This window comes from Homo sapiens, chromosome 15 (assembly GCF_000001405.40).
Source record: "Homo sapiens chromosome 15, GRCh38.p14 Primary Assembly".
In the NCBI taxonomy this organism is placed as follows: Eukaryota; Metazoa; Chordata; class Mammalia; order Primates; family Hominidae; genus Homo; species Homo sapiens.
The window spans coordinates 81,325,043-81,348,695 of NC_000015.10; the positions used below are offsets into that span (position 1 = coordinate 81,325,043).

The 23,653-nt window shown below is 44.3% G+C and overlaps 1 protein-coding gene and 1 long non-coding RNA gene across 2 annotated transcripts in view; one reads left to right on the forward strand and one right to left on the reverse strand.

Moving 5' to 3' along the window:
• TMC3-AS1 (TMC3 antisense RNA 1) overlaps positions 1 to 23,653 on the forward strand; it is a 118,744-nt gene that overhangs the window by 710 nt on the left and 94,381 nt on the right. Inside the window, exons 2-3 of the long non-coding RNA NR_120365.1 lie at positions 7,303 to 7,499; positions 16,520 to 16,666. This is a non-coding gene — a long non-coding RNA (TMC3 antisense RNA 1). The remainder of the gene's footprint in view (positions 1 to 7,302; positions 7,500 to 16,519; positions 16,667 to 23,653) is intronic.
• The window catches only part of TMC3 (transmembrane channel like 3), a 43,126-nt gene continuing 25,518 nt past the window's right edge, over positions 6,046 to 23,653 (reverse strand). Inside the window, exons 12-22 of the mRNA NM_001080532.3 lie at positions 21,323 to 21,401; positions 19,724 to 19,969; positions 18,875 to 19,003; positions 18,236 to 18,303; positions 16,348 to 16,476; positions 14,352 to 14,462; positions 13,613 to 13,738; positions 12,804 to 12,882; positions 11,567 to 11,609; positions 9,678 to 9,933; positions 6,046 to 8,220 (exon numbers count right to left, since the gene is read on the reverse strand). Of these exons, the coding sequence (NP_001074001.1) occupies positions 7,377 to 8,220; positions 9,678 to 9,933; positions 11,567 to 11,609; positions 12,804 to 12,882; positions 13,613 to 13,738; positions 14,352 to 14,462; positions 16,348 to 16,476; positions 18,236 to 18,303; positions 18,875 to 19,003; positions 19,724 to 19,969; positions 21,323 to 21,401 (2,110 nt within the window). The 3' untranslated portion in view covers positions 6,046 to 7,376. The remainder of the gene's footprint in view (positions 8,221 to 9,677; positions 9,934 to 11,566; positions 11,610 to 12,803; positions 12,883 to 13,612; positions 13,739 to 14,351; positions 14,463 to 16,347; positions 16,477 to 18,235; positions 18,304 to 18,874; positions 19,004 to 19,723; positions 19,970 to 21,322; positions 21,402 to 23,653) is intronic.

Here is a 23,653-nt window from a genome sequence, read left to right on the forward strand (position 1 = left end):
ACTAAATATTTGAAAAGGTTAATACTGAGGTCTATTTCTTATCTTTCTTTTTTATGTACTTATTGTTTCCTTTAAACTTTCGATATAAATGTTTGGAAGAGTAGTGTAAACAAATTGACAACTTGAAAGACCTTTTTGGAAGATGTGAAGGGCAGCCAGGCTGTGAAGAAGACCTGGATGGGGAATTAGGGAGCTCAAGATCTAAACCCAGTTTCACTCATTATTCTTTGAGCTTCAGTTTACTCCAAGGTGAAATGGGATACATCATAAATGTTCCTGGCGGGGTCCGGTGGCTCACGCCTGTAATCCCAGCACTTTGGGAGGCTGAGGCAGGAGATCACTTGAACCTAGGAGTTCGAGACCAGCCTGAGCAGCATGGCGAGACTCCGTCTCTACTAAAAATTCAAAAATTAGCCGGGCATGGTGGCGCGGGGCTGTAATCCCAGCTACTTGGGGGGGCTGAGGTGGGAGGATCGCTTCAACCCGGGAGGCAGAGGCAGCAGTGAACCGTGATCGCGCCACTGCACTCCAGCCTGGGCTGCAGAGCAAGATCCTGTCTCAAAAAGTAATAAAAATAAACAAACAAACAAATAAATGTTCCCTATGCCCTTGTGAAGAGAGAGGGAAGTAACGCATGTAAATACTCTTAGGACCCATAAAAGAAAAGACTAGTAAATTAATCCCATTAAAAAATTAAGCACATCAAAATTTCATAAAAAGTTAGATAATATGAGAAAAAAATCGGGACACACTTTAACACATAAGTTTTCTTATCGAACCAAGGGCTCATACAAATCATTAAGCAATTTTCAGACAACCCCATAAACAAAAAGAATGCATTAGACATGGAAAGATACTTTGTGGAAAAATTAATTGACATGGCTAACAAAGCTATAAAAAGATGCAGAACCTCACTCATTGTTAGGGAATTAAAAATTAAAGCAAGGAGAGGCTTTTCTTAAAACCTATTGATGGACAAACATGAAGTTTGTTTATACCCTGTGTTGGTGAGGGTATGGAGAAATAGTTGTTACACAGCGGATGAGAGTACAAATGTATGCAACCTCCTGGGAACAGAATAACAACATATATTAAAATTTTACTCTACTTGTTCTTTGATCCAGTGACTCTTCCTGCACAAAGATGCATAAAATTAATCTTGCAACTGGAAGTAACCTATTTACCAGTATATTAACCAAAGTTATAGAACATCCACTTAGTGGAATATTATGTAGCCATCAAAATAACCTAGCCCAGATGGTGGAAAGTGGGGATGGAGTAGACCCCCTGCAGGACTATAGTAGCACTATTTTGCTCCTAGGAAATGGGAACGTCTGGATATACAAAATATTTGGAGAAGCAAACTGTCCCCGAGGCCTGTGACAAACTGGAAGTAGGAGATTGGTGAGGTCAGGGCAGCCTTCAAGCAGAACACTCATTTATTTTATCACCGGAGGCCGGCACAGGGCAGAGTGAGCAGATGATTGGAACAGAGGGAAGGTGAGAGCTGCCCACACAGTGTTTGCCAGGGGCCTGGGACAGAAATCTATTTTGTAGTCTGTCTGAGGCTGCAGTTTGGAGCTGAAGGGGATGGAGGAATGACTGAGCTCTGGAGATTCCACTGATCAGAGCCCTTCCCACAAGGTCCTGAGAGGGCTCTGAGTCACCCAGTTGTCCACCAGACTTCATCAAAGTCCCAGGTGAATACAATTAATAGGTGTATATGGGAGCAGGTAGCCCAGTAGCTTCTAACTCAACACCACCACTAGACAGACTATAGAGGGGATGGGCCCAAGTGTCCACATGCTCCAGTCTTACAAGGCCCTGAATAGAGTGGAGTATCTGCTTTCCACTTAGACACTGATGAAGAATTGCATGCATATTTACTAAGTTAGCTTGGGCAGGTGCTATGTGAATCTACAAATGTAAGCACGTCGGTATGTTTATTGCTTACTCAGCAATAGCTAATCGTTACTCAGCACTTACTTCTTGCTAGCCACTATCCTAAGCACTTTACCTGTTTTGGGCCATTTAACTTAACAATACCGCAGCACCATGAGATAGAGACTACTACTCCCATTTTGCAAGTTAAGAAAGTGAAGATCATGTAGGGTATCCAAGGCCACATAGCTGGGAAGTGGCAGAGCTGTGGCAAACATACGATTTCTATTTCCAAAGGCCAAATGTTTACTCATATGCTTTGCTGTCTACTACATCCTATGAGCATATGTAGTGTTAAGTGTGAAACGTGCAAAGATAAAAGAAAACAACAACCTGCAAACCCTAAAAAGAAGGAAAACACACACACAGAGTAGCTGGAAGATACTACCTTAGGCTAGGGAAGTTAGTCTTTTAGAGATGTGCAGAAAACTTTGCTCTAAGTTTCCTGGAGCTCATGAATTCTGAGACAAAAGGAGTGACTAAAGGAAGCAATCTGAGGTTACCAAGATATTTACTGAACTACTCTTATCAAAAGGAATTCACTCTTTAATGGATATAACAGTCTGATCTTTGAGACTTGAGAGGAGTTTGTTATGTAGGTGTTTTAGGAGAGATTTTAATAATGCTGTGGATCATGTCCTCAATAATAGTTTGACCAAAGGCAGAAATGTACACCCCCATGGACTGTTACTAAAATACAAAGCAATGTGGTGAAACCACAGTTATGCAAAGGCATTTTTGACAGAGTGCGTTTTTAGCTTTCTGTTGCTGCAACTTAGACAAGGGCTAGAGTTCAGGGAAGGGAAAGGGATAACTGACTAGCATGTGATGCTTTTGTCAGGAGCTTTATGAGCTCCTTTTCACAGCGATGATGGTTGATGTCCACAGAAAAATGAACAAAGGTGTTGAATAGGCAATCGGTTCACAGAAGAGGAAATGCAAATGGCCAGTTGACTTAGGGAGAGATGATAACAATAAGAAATACAAATTAATTAAAATAAGTTGGTATAATTTTTTCATCAGATTGGCAAAAATGATATAGTGTGACAGTATCAGGCATTGGTGAGGCTATAAGAAAATGGCCCTCTCATGCTCTAGAGGAAGTGTGCACAGACGTCTGGACTCGTGAGGACTAATAAAGGAGCTGCTAGTGAAAATGAACATGCTCCTCTCTTATGAGCTAGGGATTTCTCTTTTAGGAGGACCGATATTCACTTCTAAGTAAACACTGGCACGTGTGTGTGCCAAAAAGATACATCAAGACAGACATATAAAAGATGTTTAGTGCAACATTATTTTCAGCAGCAAAGAAGTAGAAATGATTACAATGTCCATCAGTAAAAAAAAGGATCGATATTATGTAGTTTATTCATGTGATGAAATACTTTGCTACAGTTATGAGTTTGATCTATTTTTTGCTAGAGCTAAAAATATAAGTATGTGCATTAATACATGCAGTATAATACTCTTTACTTAAGATGTGCTTACACATTGTTTATGGATGCTTATACGTATATACTCACACATACAACATATAAAACTATAAACAATTGACCAATGGATGTACTCCAAACTCTTGCTAGTGTGAAGGGAATGAGACTTTGTGTAAGGATTAGAGTAGGCTTTGACCGTATCTGTAATATTTTCTTTATTATTAATAGTAACAAAATGGCTTAATGGAAATAAAATAAAATTCCAATTTTGGCAGTTGTTGACTCTCACAGTAGGAATATTGGTGCTTGTCACAGTAGACTTTGCACTATTCTATGTCTTTTAAATTTATTTAAATTAAAGACCTAACCCAACAGTAAGTGCCAGAGTGCATGTGAGCTGTGTTGTGCATTGGAAAGTGATACTCATACTTTCAACCCTGCGTGTGTTTGGCCACTCTCAAATTTTCTTAGGAATGTCTCAGGACCTGCTTGCCCTTAAGTCCTAAAGAAGCACCTCCCCACTCCCACACAGACAATGGTGCTCCCACAGGTGTCTGGAGCAAAGGTCAGCCTTTTCCAAAATATGTTTTAATGTCCCAGGGAGCTTGAGGCCACAGTCCCAGACCAAGCACCAGGAAGAGAGGACCATCATCATGAACCTCCCATGAGCACCTCTATCTCAAAAGCACATTTCCATGGCATTGTAGAACATTGAGTCTTAAGCAGACCCATTTCATGGCATTGTAGAACATTGAATCTTAAGCAGACTGCAATCTCTTGGATTTGTCATAGCAAGATATTTGAAAATATGTCCACTCCTCTTCCTAAATTTCAGGAGAGGTGTTAATCTGTGTGTACATTTAAAATGGTGGTATTTATACGGACTTTTCTTTCAGTTTGGAATTGGTAATGAATCTTAGAATATAACCCTGTGACCAGGCCATTTGTGATTCATTCATTAGGACAATTCTTTCATTTATTTGTTCACCCATTCACATTTAACAGATGTTTATTATCTATGGTCGGCCTCCAAGATTGCTGCTCCCTAGTATACATGCCCTATATAATCTTCTTCCCTTGAGTATGCTGGCACTTGTGTATAGGATGAGATTTTACTCCCAGATATAGTAAAAGTGAAGTGATTTTGAAGATGTAATGAGATCTCCACTCAGTCAACTCTGAGTTAATCAAAAGAGAGTGTCTGGGTGGGCCTGACCTAATCAGGCGAGCCCTTTTAAAAAGTGGGTTCAGGCCTTCCCTGGAAGGAAGGAGATTCAAAGCTGAAGAAACACTCTCTGGCTTTGAAGAGGCAAACAGCCATGTTGTGGAGAGGGCCTTGTGGCAGGGAATTGCGGGCAGCCTCTAGGAGTGGAGGGCCTCAGTCCTAGGACCTCAAAGAAATGAATTCTGCCAACAATCACCTGAGCTTGGAAGAGGACCTTGAACCTCAAATGGGATGCCAGCTCTGGCAGACACCTGGATTATAGCCTGATGAGACCCTGAGCTCAGGATCCACCTAAGCTGGGCCTGGACTCCTGATGCATGGAAACTGAGATGATAAGTCTGCATTCTTTTAAGCCTACTAAATTTGTTATGCAGTAATAGAAAATGAATACAATATATAAGTGTCAGTGACTGAAGATGCAGAATGAATACAACACCATTCTTGCTCCAAAGACACAATCTGGTGGAGGAGACAAATGTTTAAAAGACACAATTTAGAGTGAAAAGAGTTATGAAAATTTGAATCAGGGTGTGCTCCTCGTTAACCATGGCAGATTGAACACACTGCTGCCCAAACCCTGCAGAATGCCCGTAGAAGGATCCAAGGACATCAGCCCATAAAGGTGAAGATAATGTGAAGGGGAGAGGGGGCAGGGGGCGTTGGGGGGTGGGGGGAACAGTGCTGTTCTTCCCTCTGGGCTCATTGGCTGGATGGTGTAAACCTGGCATTTTCTGTGGCTGTGATTTCCTTCTCCATTGACTACATGGAGGAAGCCTGTTGCCAGTAGGAGAAAATGAGGTCAACAAACATAGAAATAGAGCAGAGAGGTGAAAAGAGATTCCTGAGGGTGCTTTAATGCCCTGGCTCCAGTTGGGCCTGAGGCTAGCTTGAGTCCCATCCTTCCCAGTTAAGCAAACCAGCAAATCTTAGGGATAAATCATGGATTACTTCCAATCTAAGTGTCCTGACTCATTAATACAGATATACTGCCCAGTTAGCAGAGTAAAATAAGTTCTCAATAAATGTTAGTTCCTCTTGTCATTACTAAACTGATTATTCATACAAACTAAGCATTGTGATATCTTTAAGGGTGGCCATCTGATTTGTGGTGCTTATTAGAGAAGATGACTTTTGTCTGTTGAAAGACAGCATTGCAATACAAACAGTTCACTCGTATCATTCCGATATCTCAGCTGAGGCTTCAGCAGGCAGGATGAGATATCTCTGGCTTGCTTATGATTTGCGGTCAACCCAAAAGGAGGCAAAGCACTGAGTTCCATTGAAATGATGGCCTGATGTGCTTCTGGATGCAAAGAGCCCCACGGAAACAATCTGCTCATGTGTGGTAGTGTTACAGTAGGTAGCCAGTTAGACATGAGCAGACAGTGGGGGCTCCTGCCAACGAAATGTTGTGGGACAATCAAAGATGGGAGACACTGAACAGAGTGAGTTCAGGAAAGGTCTTTATTAAAAGGTGATCACCTGGCTCAGTAGGACTAGCGTCCAGGAAAGTCTGAGCCCTGGATAAAGAAAGCAGCCACCTTTTAAGCAGTCGGTGGCCGGGAGTACGCGAGGCAGGAAGCGTACTTACAGAAGCGAGAGCAAAGGCAGTTGTTCAGTCTTTTACATTTATCTATACTACATGTTCCACATCCCTGGGAAACCATGTTTCTGCATCAACCTTGTAACTTTGCAGCTGCGCTAGGGTGGTGAAGCAGGAACTCGCTGAGCCTCAAGGAATGTGAAACTAGCAAGTACAGATAAGGCTTGCTGAGCACAGAAGGAAAAACAGGCAGTTAGTGTTCTTCTTTAACTTAGACTATGGGGGAGCTACACTACACTTAGCTTTTGAAGGAAAAAGTAAAAATTTTTGGTTGTCTTTGATTATACTTGTAAAATTCATGAATTCCTTCTTCAACACAACCCCCAGGAATGTCAGGCGACCATCAGGTGATGGTCAGGTGGCTGCTGATTGTCTCTCTAAAATAATAATTGGTCACAGCTGGCACCAGGGAACGACAGTCTCCCAATAGATAGAAAAAACCTGAAACTGGTGATCGGCAGCTTCCCCATAAAATGTCAGGAGTTGGGCGAGTGGGCTCAAACATGCGCACTAAGAGACAAAATGGAGCATTCCCCTGGTAAGGGAAGAACCTCGAGTGAGCGCGTGCACAACTCCAGTAAACACACTGCGCATGCTCCCCTCCCCAGCGCTAGCAGGCCACTACTGCGCATGCGGACAGCCCACCCCAAGGGAAGAAAGGGAAGAATCGTGGGGAGAAGCAACGCAAGACCCCGGAAGCATGCCAACGTGTAAAACCCCAAGTCAAAGGTCAAACAGTGCACTGGATCTCTCAAGTCGCCTGCTTGGCCCTCTACTAAGTATGTTTTACGTTCTTTCATTCCTGCTTTAAAGCTTTTCAGTAAACTTTCATGCCTGCTCTAAAACTTGCCTCAGTCTCTCCTTCTGTCTTGAGCCCCTCTGCCAAATTCTTTCTTCCGAGGAGGCAAGTATTGAGATTGCTGCAGACCCGTGATGATTCACTGCTGGTGACATACTTTGGTGCCACCTAACTCGGATAAATTTGGCTAACAGTAGCTGTAGAATAGGTATCTGTAGCCCTGTCAGCCTCAGGGCCTCAGCTAGCAGCCGCTGACCATGCCCCTCAGGTCTCTAACACACTTGTTCACCTCTTTTTCCAGAAAGGGAGATGCCATGTGCTGGCCCAGCACTCCAACAGGGGCCTGACCTCTAGGAACGGGACACTGGAGGAAGCCTAGACATCTGAACAAATCAAGTCATCCAGATCCACGGTCAGCTCCTGCCCCGACTTGGCCTTCCTCCTGCTGGGCTGGCCCACGGACCTCGGGAACCTGCCCTGGCTGTGGGTGACCTGCAGGTACTGGTCAGCGCTGCTGTTCTGCTGGTCACTGCTGGATGCTGCCGACACGGAGTCAGATTCCGTGAGGGATGGCTCGAACCTGGGCTTCCCTCTGGGCTTCAGAGGGGGCTGTGGGTATTGGAAATTCCGGGATCGTGGCTTTCTGGGCACATAGGCTGGCCTCTCAAGGTGACCCTCAAAATCTTCATTCCACGACTTGTAGTGCACCCTCCCCTGGTGCTCGGGATCCCGGGTCTGACTTTCGGACCTCTCCCCAATATAAAAATGAGGAGCCCGACGGAGGTCTATCAGGGAGCGTGGGGGAAGAGACCGTTTGATCCAATCTCTGCTTGGCGTCTCCTCCTCTTCTTCACTCAGCTGTGGGGAGGGAGGCTGGCGGGGGACCCGGGATGCATATTGTCGCACGTTCCTGGGGTACAGCTCCACAATGTCACCTGAAGCATCTATCTTGAAATGTCTTTCTGGCCAGACATTTAGATGTTTTTTCTTGTAAGAGTCACATTCATTAATGACATAGTATCTGGGGGCGTGGGGCCTGGGACCCTGTGCCAGCAAAGTCGAGGCCTGTGGTCCACGGTGAGGAGGGTTGATTTGCTGAAAGTCTTTTCGGAAAAGAGGTTCTGAGTGTACATCTTCGATGTGCGTTGTAAATGTCATAGGTGTGCGCGATCTGTTCCTGTGAAGGTCACTGGTGCTTGCACACAGACCGTGCAGATACCTGTAAGACAGGGGCGGTTAAGTAGCTGTGGCCTTGGTGGTCTCAGAGCCCCACACCTGAGGACTGTGAGCTGTGAGCAGTTCTCTGAGCATTTTCACTGAGGCTGGTTCCAACTGGTTAATGGGTATGGATTGTGTGCACAGAGACATTTGGGGGACAGGGCTAAACAGTTTTCTTTACTGCTGGAATTTTCAGAACCTAAATCAGTGATGTACACATGAGTCTCCATGAAGACTGCAGAGCGAGGGGTGTTATGCTAGTGTATTTCCTCACAGAGCCCTCTTTGTGTCAAGAGGCACATAGTGGGACTAGTGTCTGTGAAGCACATGTTAGGAACACAGTTTCTCATCCTTTCTGCTAAGCAGCTGTCTGACTTCTCAAGCACTTCTCTGAGTTTCCACTGGTGGGTGGAGGGGAGTTGTACATATTAAACAGTTCTTCCCTGGCCAGGTACGGTGGTTCACATTTGTAATCCCAGCGCTTTGGGAGGCCAAGGCAGGTGGATCACTTAAGGTCAGGAGTTTGAGACCAGCCTGGCCAACATGGTGAAACCTGGTCTCTATTGAAAATACAAAAAAATAGCCGGGTGTGGTGGCAGGTGCCTGTAATCCCAGCTACTCGGGAGGCTGAGGCAGGAGAATTGCTTGAACCTGGGAGGTGGAGGTTGCAGTGGGTCGAGATTGCACCACTGCACTCCAGCCTGGGTGACAAGAGCAAAACCCTAGTCTCAAAAAAAAAAAAAAGTTCTTCCTGATAAAGACTTGAATCTGTATGGTGGCTGTAGTTTGACCCCTAGGGGCCTCTCAAGGAGTGTTTGAACCCTTTCTCCTTGTCAAGACCCCACAGAGACAGGCAGACAACTCCTTATATAACAAGACTTCAAGTTCTTTGCTAACTTAGTCATTATCTTTAAAAAAGAGAGCCCCTGTATTTTATCTATATTGCTTTCGCTGTGCTACATTCAGATCAAATATAATTCTCCATATGAGTTTGGGCCACCGCAGGTCTATCCCCTTCATCTTTCCAGGGGTCCTACCTCCATTAAAGTAGGAAGGGATCTACTGCTTTCTTTGACCCCATGTAATGCATAAATGGTCTTGCCAATAACTTGACCAGACTAGGGCTAAAATATGGAAGATCTTGCCAATAATATGGCCACTGTGGAACTAAAAAATAAACAGTTATTTTCTTAGCCTAGACAAATGTTTATCCTAGGTTGGCTGGAAGGTTTGCTTACAAGTTAAATGGCAGATAACCTAGGAGGAAGAATTTGTCCTGTTTGATAAACTTTGACACCCCCACCCCGCCTCCATTTCTTTTTAGTACCAGCTGTCATAGTCTCCTGACCCATGCCTTCTGGGAGAATTAGAATTTAATGGCCTTGGCCTCCTGAAGCTGCAGAGGCCTTCAAATCTCTCACATTCCAGGTTTTAATCTGTGCTGCAGTGGAGCCTCACCTGTTAGTTTCATGCTCTAGCCTGGATTTGGGGACCCCAGGGAGAGGTGAGCTAGGAGCCCTGTCCCCTGGCCTCGGGCTCTGGGGCATGGACTGTGCGACTGTCTCTATCCTGCCACTCTTGCTGCTCCCTGAGTCAAAATGGGCCACGTTGCCGTTGTTTTGGGGTGTGCCCGAGTGCGCTGAGGACAGCTGGCTGGTAAGATCACTGTCGTTTGGAAGCTTCTTGGTGCTTTCTTCCTGGGTCTGGATTCGGGCTGCAGGGAGAGGGAGGTGTTGTGAGAAGACAGGTGTCACTGAGCAGGTGACAACTTCAGATGAGTTGAGTTGCAAGGGTTTTATGACATCCAAGAGTTGGTCCGCAAACAATTGAGTGCACTTACAAATGCACCTAACCAGTGGGCAACAAACATTCTGTAATTCAAATGATTTCATCCCTGCAAGTTGGAGCTGGGAGTGTAGGAGGAATCAAGTGAACACAAGGCTTTACAGTGCTCCATCTGATGCTCCCATGAGGCAAAGCAAGTACTTAACAGCTTTGGGCCTCCAGTTCCTTATCTATTCAATGGAGATAATAAAGCTTACACAACAATTATGATTCTTTGGAAACAGTTCACATGCATTCTGAAAAAAGATGTGGTCTCGAGCTGGAAAATGAACACTGGACAATGCTATTGTTATCCTGAAACAGTCTATGTGGATTCTGGCTTTTGAAGGTGACCTGAACTAAATTTAATTACGCTTAATTGGCAAATAAGCGATGACGATTACAGAGGCATTTTATGGCGTGAGCCACAGTCACTTTCAGTAATCATTATCAATTGTAGGCTTCTCTCTGAAAAGCTGATGGAGCAAGCAAGCATAATCCTTAGGCCTTAGAGGTCTTGCTCAGACATTTTTCTGGAGAGGAATATTTCCCTTCCAATTAGTGAAGTATTGCAACAGCTGTGAGAGCTAGCCCCTAAAGCCCTTCTGGGTCCCATTCTCATTCATGTAGGCTGTGCCATGTTAATGGTGCCCAGTGAGCCTTCTAGCTCACAGCACTCTGTTAGTGGTCCTGAGAAACAGATCCATCTCCTTCGAGCTGCCGTTGCCCACTTTCTTCCCTTCAGGCCACAGCAGACTTCTACGCCACATGCTTCCATTCTCCCTGCTCTGCAGGGACAGGACAGAACCTAAGGAGGCTCAGGGAAGGGACCTGGGAGGGAACATTGCAAGGAAGAGATGGGCCATGGAGAGGAAGTATACAAAAGTGACCCAGACAAAGAGATTCTTTGGGCTTTCATCCACGTGAATGTGCTGCTTTTCCTCTCCTACTTCGATACTTCCTTCTGATTTTACACATGTTTTGGGATTATTCATGGGCCTGGATATGATATAAAAATTAAAGATTTAAAACAACATTTATATCCCTAGATTTTATTTTATTGTGCATAGTTACTGGTGAAAAAACACAGGTTATCAGGAATTTGTATTGGTAGTATACCGCAAACTACTTTAAATGGCTGTATTTTTAAATGCCCACTAACTGAGACAGCAGATCTCTGCATTTAAAAAAAATATTAGGACAGGTGCAGTGGCTCACACCTAGAGCTAGCTCTAGGGGCTAGCTCTCCCCAGCACTTTGGGAGGCCAAGGTGGGTGGATCATGAGGTCAGGAGTTTGAGACCAGGCTGACCAACATGGTGAAAATATAAAAATTAGCCAGGTGTGATGGCACGCACCTGTAATCCCAGCTACTCAGGAGGCTGAGGCAGGAGAATCACTTGAACCGGGAAGGTGGAGGTTGCAGTGAGCCGAGATCACACCACTGCACTCCAGCCTGGGCGACAGAGCAAGACTCTGCCTCAAAACAAAAAAACAACAACAAAAAGAAACGGAAATACTTACCTTCTACCATCTGGGCAACCTTTTTCTTATCCTCTGATCTTGCCTAAAATGCAAATGATATGCATGTTTGTTTTGGCTTTAGCAGGAAGCAGTAACAAATATTATTCCTGGGGGAAGAGAAAAAGATTTACATGCCATAGTTCTTACCTTGGACCATAACTGTACTACTATTGCCCCCTATGGACGGTATGCTCTGGGCTCGGGCCTGTTATTTGAGTGAATAAATGCAGATACCTGAGAGCTGAAGTTTTATGCCTAGCCAGTTTTATTTAGGGACAGCTAATTAACAGACCATGTTTAGATTCTGTCCATAATAGTTTGCCTGAATCACAAAGAAAAAAATACAGATCGACAACACTGGAGATGTATGTTTCCACCAAAATGGCCTTTGTAACTCCAAATGAATTTCCAATTAGAAGCTAATTTGTGTTTCTTTGCATGAATTGATGTTCATGGGAAGTTTTTTTTTTTTTCTGATAGAAGTGGAAGGAGTTTTTTTGCATGGGTGAGGTCAGTGAGGCATCTGGGGTGCCAAATTTAAGGAGGCACTTATTTTCAGGGCTGTGAAAGGACAGAATCAGCATTACGCTTACAGAGCCTCCTTAAATGTGGTGCTTTGGGAGCCTCACTGGCCTCATCCCAGTCTTGGGATCCTTCCTTGGGGTCTGGAGGACCCAGGGCACTAAGGGAACACCTGGGGTATGTGGAGGAGGAGAAATTGTGGGAGTTTTGGGAGCGTGTGTCTCCCTGGGACTGCTCTGAGAGATAGGGTTTGAGCCCCATGGAGAGAACGTAATGACAGCCACATCTAAAGGATATGAAAGAGGTGAGGCTTTAGGGACAAACAGTGCTGCTGGGCTCAGATGCCCAAGTTGACAAGGATTGGGAAGGGGCCCTTTCTCTCCCCTGCCAATCTACCAGAGCTCACAAAAGTACCTGGCACACTGAGGGCTTGGTGTGGTCACAGGGTGGGCACTGAAAGGCTCGAGGCAGCTGCAAGGCCTCTTGAGGAGGAAGAAAAACAGGAGCAGGCTTCCTCCTAGCAAAGGGGAGCCATCCCTGGGTATTCTTAGAAATAACTCTTGGACATCTGGGGATTGGTGGCCTTGCACCATAGTGGGTGGCCAAGAGTCACAGAAACCTTGAAGATGTGACTTCACTTGTATTCCCACGCTGGCGGGATCTCAGTCATGTGGTTGACACATATTCATAATAGCAAAGTTCATGAAATACTTGCGTTTTGGATCTGCATTTTGAGCTGGTGGTTGCTGAGCTTTAGAGACCGTGCGATGCTCTGGAGATAATAGATGAGCATGCTAGGACAGAACAACACAGGACAATGAGTGGACTGCAACTCGCTTTTCTGCTTTTCAGACCACATTCCCTGCAGATAGTTGGCAGGAATGAGAGGCTCCCAGGCCAGATGCGGGCTATCCACTGACCCTCCGCTAAGGACAAAATGTATCAGCAAGTTCTCAAGCCAGTGAGCACTGGGAAGGGGCTGCTTTTGTTTTCTCTTCCTGGCTTTCCACAGCACCCTCGTTGACCTGGAATTCTGCACTGGTGATAGCAATAAGGAAGAACTGAAAATGGGGGAGAAATTTTGCAGTCTATCAAGCTATGAGTACAGGATCCACTCACTTTTATTTTTTTTTCCTTTAAACCAAAATAAGCCAAAGCTACTCAGCTGAGTTGTGAAATTCCTTTTCAGGATTATTTAAGTTTCTAGAAAATGATAATGGCATTCAGCCCCATTCTAGTGATCACAGTAATTGACCAAATGGTGTTGATGGATCAATAACCACCTCAATGGCAATGGAGTGCTCCCTCATCGCCCCTCGCTGAGACCCAGTGGCTGTGTCTCCATGGCACAGTGCCTCATGTGACTCTGGTGTGTGACTCAGAGTCCCTGTTGAGATCATCAGGCTCTAAGCCTAAGTGATTTTTGAATGAACTAATAAATTTTATGTAATTATTGGAAAGCAGCGTTTTCTTGTTGGCCAAACACACAGAAGTCCCTCCAAAGCTGGCAGGTGTGGTACTCACAAAAGCAGGAGTACTGCGGGCAGGATGACCACGGGGCTACTGATGTGTCCAACCACGGAGCCAAACCACACAGGAAAGTCTTTCTCAATCGTTTCTGACACAATGTCATAAATTTTCTCTTGTCCACTGTGAGAAAGAAAAACATAACTCCAGATTTTATTGCTCTTGGCAGAAAGATGCTGCAAGACATCAGAAAATGGCTGGATGCCTGGAGGCCAATTCATAACATTCCTCAAATGATTTCATATCTAATTAATATGGAGGATGGAAGATGGGGTCATTAATCACATTGCATGTATGTGTGTGTTCTAATCGTGTACACTAAGGTAGACTAAATATTCCATATTGTATCAAAGCTGACTTGAATGCTGGATGAAGATACTAGAGGGTTTTGCTTGAATACAGCTGGATAATATAGGAAAAAAAAGTGCTGTGCACTGTGGTTTAATAAAAGCTTTCTGTGTTTTGACCAGGTAGAATGTCCTCTAGCACAGAACAATGCTGTTTCTCTTTTTCACTTTAAAAGGATTGTGTTTTTTAACATGAGCACAGAGATGATTATACTAAGGGCAGCCTTCTATTAAGGAAAGAGCCCTGGTCTTGGATTTAAAACATGCGGGTTTGCAATCTTTCTATCCTGTTTACCTGCTCTGTGAGCTTGGAGGAGAATTCAGTTCAATATGATCTAATTCCCTTACAGCTGTCAGTCACTCCGGGCAGAGCTGGGAACGAAACTTACCTGAATGGCCCACAGTTTAGAGATGGCTTGTATCGGACAATAGCAAAAATGGTTGGCAGCATGCACAGAAACAGCATAAACAGGAGCATTGCCAAGTAGAAGTTGTTGGATCTGCAGATAAATCAGATGTCATGTGTTAAGTTCACTCCATAGCCAGTTGCCAGGGTTGCATATGCCCAAAGAGCTGCCACAGAAACGGTTGCCCTGACTCTTTGCAAACTAAAAATCCTCCTCTCAGGGTTACCTACAAATGGATCTGTCATAGGGTCACATGCAGCTTAGAAACCTAGAAATCAGCGTTCAAAGGAACTTCAGAGATCTCCCACCCAACCTGTTCATCTAATAAACATTTGCTGAGCACCTGTTCACCTCAAACCATAAAAGTGGTGAACTCACCCTGGCACCCAGGAGTTCCACACAGTAAACTCAATTTATGGAAAAATCTTAGAAGCATTGCCCATCCATCTGGGTCCTTACCTAATGGTTCCCTCTCCTATTCCCAGGCTTGAACTTGTCTCTTACGTCTCGGGATGGTTTGGCTCTTTTGTTTATGATTCCTGACTCTCTCACTTGGGTGTGATTTGCACTCAACCTCTTATCCACTCCGCATGTGGCTGCCCAGGGTATGTGTTCTACCTGATTAAGCCCCGGTCCCTGAGCCCTAAGCTAGTGTCAGGGAGTTTGGATGCCCAGAGCTCCCCTGAGGGCAGCTTAGATCTGTTTGGTGTGCAAGGCCCTGTACACAGTTCAGAAAAGAGAATGAGGGGTCAATCTAGTTACTTTCAACTAGTACTCTCTGTTGGTCTGTTTCTCTGTCTCTCTCTGTCTCTGTCTCTCTCTCTCTCTCTCTCTCTCTCATGAAAAAGACTTGACTAAAAGAGAACAGAAGATTTCAGAGAGCACAGAATGTAGTAGGAGAGTGATAAGTTGTGAAACTTCTTTATCTTTGTCTATCCACAGACATACATACATATAATAAATATACATACACATATATAACATATATAAATATATCAAAACATATCTCTGAATGTATTAATATATGTGTACTGTCATCAGATAAAATGCATTGTCAAGTAGGTCATGAGCAAAAGTTTGAAAGCCACTGATATAGACACACATAACCATATGTCAAAGTAAAATAACTGAATCAAAGTATTTAGAATGTGTTATGAATTCACCAAAGTTGGTAAAATTAAAACAGTTAAAAGAATAAGTGTTGGCAAGGTTATAAAACACTTGGAACTCTCATATAATGCTGCTAGACATGTAAAATGGGGTGTTCATTTTAGAAAACTTTTTGGTGCTATTTGCTAAAGGTGAACATATGCATGCCCTGTGTCCCAGCAATTGCATTCCTAGGTATATATGCAACAAAGATACTTAGGATGTTCAAGGCAGCATTACTCATTATGGCTAACAGCTGGAAGCAACCTACATGCCCGTCAACAGGAGCCAGGATAAAGAAATTGGGGTATATTTTCTCAGTGAGTTGAATCTCACAAACACAATGTTGCGTGTAAGCAGTTGGGCACAAAGGAGCACATACTGTGTGTGTGTGTGATTACGTTTACATCAAGTAAAACCCAGGCAAGCCTAATTATGCCATTAGAAGTTGGCAGTGATTGGAATGACATACAAGTGGGCATGCTCTGGTTGCCATTTGTGTTTTGTTTTTTGATCTGAGTGCCTTGTGTTCAGTTTTTGAAAACTAATCAAGCTAAACATTTACGATTTGTGTACTTTTTTTCTAAAGGATTATTAAACTTCGGCAAAACGTTTTAAAAGTGTCATGAGTTCAAGAGGAGTAATGATTCATTGAAAGAGTAAGACATTGGAAATGGCTCTTGGAGGAGACAAAATTGGAGGACAGGCAAGATTTTGACAGGAAGAGAGTTGGGGGGACCCTTTGCTAGAGGACCCCTGGGTAAGGCAGGCATGGATTATATATATGTATATATAGTTATCTGCATGATCAGATCTTATTCTTACTCACCTTGAGGCTCGAAATACTTGCTGGTGGGGCACATTGCAGGTCAGCACAGCCCAGCTTCTCAGGTACATGAGCCCAATGAGTTTGAGAACGTTGAACGCTGGGAGACATGGGGAGAAGAAGGCCCCCATCCTGGAACCATGAGGAAGGTCAGTTTGCATCTGTTCTCTTTCAGCCTATCTCCCAGGACTATGGAAGCCCCATGCAGGAACATGGTTCTGACACTTTGGGGATTATACCCTAAGCTTAAAGGACTGGAAAAGCCCCTGAAGTCCCGAGACCACAACCCTCCACCTTCTAAAGATAAGACAAGTCACTGAAGGTGGGTATTGATCCTATTTTAAAATATTATATTTGCAAAGGACAACTGTTTGTCTCTCTTTTCACAGCTGAGCAAAGGAAAATCCTCTGGGAAGGAGGCAAATAATGGATAACTACTATTTGGGGCCAGCTCCTGGTTTTGCTTGTCTATGATGAGGACTGTGCTAATAAATTACTGCCTTTCAGGTTTAATCAACATATTTTGGGCACCTAGTTTTGCTGGATATGGCATTAAGCATCCTCACACATTTCAGTTTGTTTACTCTTCTGCAATAGTGAGAGGAGAGGTAAATATCCAGTTGATAGACAACAAGGGCAGATATGGGGAAACCAAAGACATGTTGCTAAGGCTGACTCTATATCATCCAAACCTGGGAGATTTGGGGAATGAAAGAACTGAGCCCACAGACAAGAACCAGATCATCCCAGGGAAGCTGGGACTTATGGTCACCCTGAAAAGAAATGGCAGCTAGGCGACAAAACCCATGTCTTCAGACTTAAGTCTAAATCAGTTTATATTGGATACGTATTCAATCTAATACTTGTGGAATTTGGATTTAGTGGTATGAAAATAAACATGGACATAAGAGTATGTTTCCTAAGTAAAATGTTTCTAACAAGAAATGTTCAGTTATCATTATCTGTTGGATGTTAGGCAAGACACTAAGCTTCTCTGCACTTCAGTTTTCTCATCTTTAAAAAGGGGAAAATAATAGCAGTTACTTCATGGGTTTACTATAAGGATTAAATCAGTTACTACAGGTAGAAAAGTACTTGATATCTAGCACTATTAAATAAATGTCACCTATTATTTTTAATACTGTATTTGTAAAGATATTTTGCAAAATACAGTGGCTCTAAGAATTTGACAGGAGGCGTATTACTTTGTACCTCTCAATTGCCATGTATTTTACTGAATGATTATGAAGAGAATGTTTTCTGGATGTATGGAATATCCCAAGTTCTTGTTTTTTGTTCGTTTGTTTGCTTGTGTTTTAACAAATAGCACTATTCTGGTCCAACAGGTAAAATCAGCTCCTCAGTGTCTCCAAGGACAGGAATGCCATGGGCTGGGAGGCGCCATGGGTGAACAGACTTCCCTACTTCCTGCCTCCCCAAGGGTGGGGAGCAGTCTAGGGGATGGCTGTACTCCTGGGCCCAGTGTCTAAGTGAAAATTAGGAGGAAATGGAGGGAGGGTGGCGAGCGAGGACAGACTGGCCAAGGTCCCCCGCAGCCACTCCTGAAGTCCTCACGAGGGAGAAGCAGCCTCTCCTTCCAGCCTTCCCCAAGTCCTCCCTAAGAGTGTATTCTACTGGTTTCTGTGCAGATTTTTTTCGGCTGCGACCAATAGTAGCTTAAACATGGATTATTTTCTTTTTAATTTCTTCCTGCAAAATTCTTAGGAAACCATTAATAAAAGTAATATACATGTGAAATAATAATCTTGGAAACATCCCTTCTTAATGCTTATGTAACTGTGTTATGGTCGTGTCCCATCTAGACTAAGTAAATTAAAATCTTAGCCCAGATGAGATGTAAGCAAAGGCAAGAAGAAACTTTGATACCTACCAAATCATTCCTTGGTTGTAGACTAAATGTAGCACATTCTCAGCTATTTTGAATTCTCCATATTCAGGCTACAAGAGAAAATAAACTTGTGCATTAAACAAGTTCCAAAGTTCTTTGCATGAACCAATTAATTACAGACACCTATATAGACTTCTTTGCTCTTATGAACACTTAGAGATCAGTGCTTGTGGGGCCATCCCAGCAAATGGTAAATGTTAAGAAAGGGGTGGGGCTGGGCATTGTAGCTTATGCCTGTAATCCCAGCACTTCGGGAGGCTGAGCAGGAGGATCACTTGTAGTCAGGAGTTCGAGGTCAGCCTGGGCAACATAGTGAGACCTCATCTCTACAAGAAATTTTTAAAACTAGCTGGGCATGGTGGCATGTGCCTATAGTCCCAGCTACTCGGGAGGCTGAGGCAGGAGGATCGCTTGAGCAAGACCCTGTCTCAAAAAACACAAAAAACAGACAAAAAAAAAAAAAAGGAAGTAGAAGCTCAGCTTTCTGCACCCATCTCTTCCCACTTGTATTCTCTTTCCGTGTGTCCCCCTCAACTATGCTGGACTGTTTCCCAGCCACAACATGAGAAAGGATGGATTTGGCCATATAAACTTTCCCAACAGACACAGCATTTTACTTACAAACTTGCTCTCCAGATCCCAACACCAGTAGTCACTTAAGTACCGCACGAAAAGTCCTCGGAAGAAGTCTATGAGCAGAATGCTCGCCACGGTGAAGAGCATGTCAATGATGGAGAGCTTCAGCATCTCCTGAAACACAGGGCGTCCCTGGATGCCACCATGCCCCACCCTTCCCACGGTCACTCTTCCTTCAGGGTGCTCCTAATCTCTGTTCATTCTTGTGGGCCCCAGCCAGTGGGCCCCTCCAATGGCATCTTCATTTCTCATCTTTGTAAGTTGCAGTGGGCAGAGGACTGGGCTTCTGGTACATAATGGGTGTTCAATAAATATTAGGTAATTTGAATTCGAATTTTGATATCTGAGGCCAGCATCACATGAAACTAGGAAAGAATCTAAGGTCTGTGGTTCTGAGCTGCAGGAGACTCGAGGCCAGTGACCCATTTCCATGGGATAATACCTTGGGGTTGAGGTTCTCTGTACAACATGGTTAAGGGTACAGATTTTGGAGCAGATTCCTGGGTTCAGGACTTCATTCTGCTCTTTACTATCTGTGTCCTTGGGCAAGTACTTGACCACTGTGCCTCAGTTTCCTCATCTGTGCCTATAAGGGTGACAATAATAGGACTCTTATGAGGACCAAGCATTTAGGACAGGACCCAGCATGCGGTCAATATTGGCTGAATCTTTGCACTGATTATTTTTCTTTTTTAATTTTGAGGCTTGGAAAATCATAAACCTCACTGAACTTTTCTTTTTTCTATAACATAGGGGCAGTGACAGCTCAGAGAGTTGCTGGGGTTAAGTGATGAGATGGATATGACAGAGCTTTGTAAGGGTAAAGAGAACCACCTGACCAACGTATGTCTCCCAGCACTGGTCTTGTGGACTCTGAGTGTGGAGGCTAGTCTTGTTGGCCTTTATAAGAGGCATGGTATAAGCTGAAATGCTGGTCTCTTCCAAGGCCCATGTGTTGTTTCTCCTGAGCCCCATTCCAGGCCGAGATGTGGACCATTTCTCTTCTTCAGGGGCTGTCCTGGTTGCAAAGAAGGTGGTGGAATCTATCCAATGACTTGTGTTATTTTTGGTAGCCATTTCCTGGGGAGAGAGAGAGAGAGAGAGAGGGAAGCAGGGGAGAAAGGAAAATGGCGGTCCACATATTTGTAAATGAGAATCCATCATGGACCCCAAGGGTGTCATTGCATTGCTTGGGAGTAATCATTCATCCTCTTTCTCTTTCTAGACCATCACTTGACTAGAGTTGGCCCCAATAAGGGAACACAGAGGTGTAATGGATAATATTTATTCATCCCTAGTAAGGGTCAGAAACTGTTTTAGGTAACACATGTTAACTCTACTTATCCTCACAAGAGCTTTAGATAACGATTATTACCTCATGTTCAGATGAGGAGATTGAAACTCAGTGAGTTGAAACCTAATGCTCAAGGTCACGCTGCTAGTAAGTGTCAGGTAAAGACCCAGGTCTATGTAACCTCAAAGCCCCAATGCAGAAAAATGATTCTCTGTGGCCTCGTCTGCCTATAGGCCTTGAAATTTGATGTTAGTGTGATATGCCTTGGGCAAACAACCCTAAAAGAGCACCCCCTGTCTTACTCCCTTTCCTCCCCCATTCAGGATATCCTTATAGGTGGGGCAGGTTGAAAGTGGACATCAGGCTGGGCGTGATGCCTCACACTTGTAATCCCAGCACTTTGGGAGGTCGAGGCAGGGGAATCGCTTGAGCCCAAGAGTTTGAGACCAGCCTGAGCAACATGGTGAAACCCCATCTCTATAAAAAATACAAAAAAAAATAGCCAGATGCAGCGGTGGCACGCAGCTCTAGTCCCAGCTACTCTGGAGGCTGAGATGGGAGTATCACTTGAGCCTAGGGAGGTTGAGGCTGCAGTGAGCAGTGATTGTGCCACTGCACTCCAGCCTGGGCAACAAAGCGAGACCCTGTCTCAAAAAAGAAAAAAAAAAAGGTGGACACCAAAGCTACTCTAGGTTGGGAGCAAATACTCCTGCTGGGCTGGGATAGTAAGTCCCCTCTGAACTGTTCCCCATGAAATGATTATTCTGTCCTGACTTTCTGAGTGAGTCCCATGGCCTGCTGCTCTTCCTGTGATCGTTTGCAATAGCTGTTGATAGCCTTTTCCTGATGGGATTCAAAGAAATGGGGTAGTATGATACAAAGAGTCAAAAATTCTGGAGTTCTCATCCCAGCACCATCACTTACTAGTCATGCACTGTGGCCTGAGTTTCTTTATCTGGGAAACAGGGATCATTTTTCTCTCCTTACCTTGAGAAGACTCCAGCAAAGTCAAGTTTTGCACATGATTATGGAGTACAAGTATAAGCAGTGATCCTGTCCACGATGATGACCCTGGTGTTGGGAGGAGGTAGCAGAGAGGGCAGAGGTGGGGCAGGCAACTATCTGGGATGGGCACTCACCTCAATGCTCATGCTGTTAACTTTGTCCAGGAGAGCAATGATCAGGCTGTAGAGATTTCCCAAATACAGCACAAGGACCCTGAAAGCCACAAGCCCACCTTGAGAAACAAGACCATGGCATAGAAGTCCGTGGTTCTAGAGCCCCCACATGGTTCTAAAGACTGTCATGGATATATTAAGGCAGTGGCTGCCACACTTGGTTTCCTCTAGAATCACCTTGCGGGCATTTTTAAAAAGAATTCCAGAATCCACCCTTAGTAGGTCTGGAAGGGGTCTGGAAATTGTTTTACAGCCTTTCCAGGTGATTCTGCTATAGCCCATCCTTGGATCTGTACTTTACAAACACTAGTGTAGCAGAAAATGTGAGTTTAGGAAGTGGGGCCCTAAAACGTGTAGTTTATGAGTCATGCTTTCTGGTTTATGAATTGATTTCCCATGCATTATCTCATTTGATCCTCATAGCAGCTCTGTAATAATCCCCACTTAAGGGACAAGTGTATTGAAGCGCAGAGGGAGCTAAGTCACCAGCTCAAGTTCACACAATTAAAAAGCAGCAGAATGCAATTTCAGGACCTCAGTGCTCTGCTTCTGAAATACAGGCTGGACCCCTCAGAAGCACTGAAAAGCTGTGGGTACAACTACACCCTGTCAGCCACTGGGAGTGAATGGAACCTGCCAGCAACAGTCTGGATCAGCCAATGATCAAAGACTTGATGTCAGTTTCCCTAGTGCTGGAAGGTTTTGGAAACACATCATGGAATTTCCCAGGATGCAGCCTTGGTTCTTACTGGAAACCTGTCTGGGAAAATGAAGTGAGAAAGGAAACGACAGGTTTATACACACTTCAGTGAGACAACACTTAGCCCTTGGAGAAAAATGAAGCCAATTGATGGGAGAATCGTGAAACCAATTGAGAAAGTTGATGGGAAAGCATCTTTATCTTGAGGAAAAGACTCCAAGTTGAAACCATCCCCCCAGGCCTTCCGCATCTCCTCAAGTATAAAGTTGACCACCCGTGTGCAGGCAGTGGGCAGAGAAACAGGAAAGTGGCATCTCCAGGGGACAGCATTATAACTCACATGGGCTCTCCCTCTGAATTGAGACGGGATTCCCGTGGGCACAGTGCATTTACAGTACTGAGTACAAGGCAAGCCCCTCAGTGTGTATTCAGTAAGTGTTGGCCAAAGGAAGGATTGAATGCATTTCCTCTCCTGCTGTCTTGGCATTACCATCACTCTGTGCCTTGGATAGAAGGTAACACAGTCTGCTGGTGAGTTAATGGAACTGAAATAATATGTCTTATGCTTATTACCAGAATTAGCCCTAATTTGTCTGGGGGAAGTCTCTGATGCCTCTGTTTCTCTAGTTTTCAACATGAGTAACGAGGCCAATTTATATAATAGCATTGCCTTTAGACCAAATGCAATAATGGAATTGATTCCACCCAATACTTGCTAGTGAGGAAGGAGCTTCTCTGTTGCAGGTCAAAAGACGTGTTGGGTGGAGCAGAAAGAACCAGGAATAGCCAGTGGGCTGAGAGGCTCATCCCAGATCTACCCTGGGCCATGAAGGTTTGACCAACTCCATGCTCTTCCTAGTCATGTTTTCTCTCTTTGAAATGACAGTTGAATTTCAGGGGTTGGAAATTATGGCCTTCAAACCAAACCGTACCCTTGCCTATTTTTGTCAGTAAAGTTGTATTGGAACACGACCACACCTGTTCATCGCCGTATGGTCTGTGGCTGCTTTCATGCTAGAACCTTAGAGTTGAGTAGTGGTGATAGAGACTGTGTGACCCACAAAACCACAAGTATTTACTATCTAGTTCTTTTTGGGAGATGTTTGCCAATTCCTGAATGAGAGCAAATCTTCCCAAAGTGGTCTGTGGAAAATTAGTTCTGTAGAATGTTATTAGGTGTTACAAGAGGAAATGGGGAGAAACTAGTGTAGACCAGGTTGAAGGTGAGATCAGGTAAGCAGGGCTCTCACTGCCTCCCTCTGCCACATTCAGTTTAACAATGCCTCACCCAGCCCTACTACAGTAGCTAAATTTGTAAATGAAGAGACCATACTCCGGGGAGAACAGGCAAATTTTTCAGGAAAATACTGATAAAGCCAGTGCTCAAAATGAGTGTGGTTGTTCTGACTCCCATAGAAGGTGTCTCAGGACGTCCCCTCAGGTGCATCAGCCTACTGTTGCTCAGGTCTTCCTCAACCACCTGCTGTCACAGCCACTGACTGTCCTGGCAAAGCTTCCAGGCATATCTACAAGGAACTCTTTGAGTCTGTACTTTGGGGGAACTGTTCACAAAGCATTGACTGTTCTTCTTG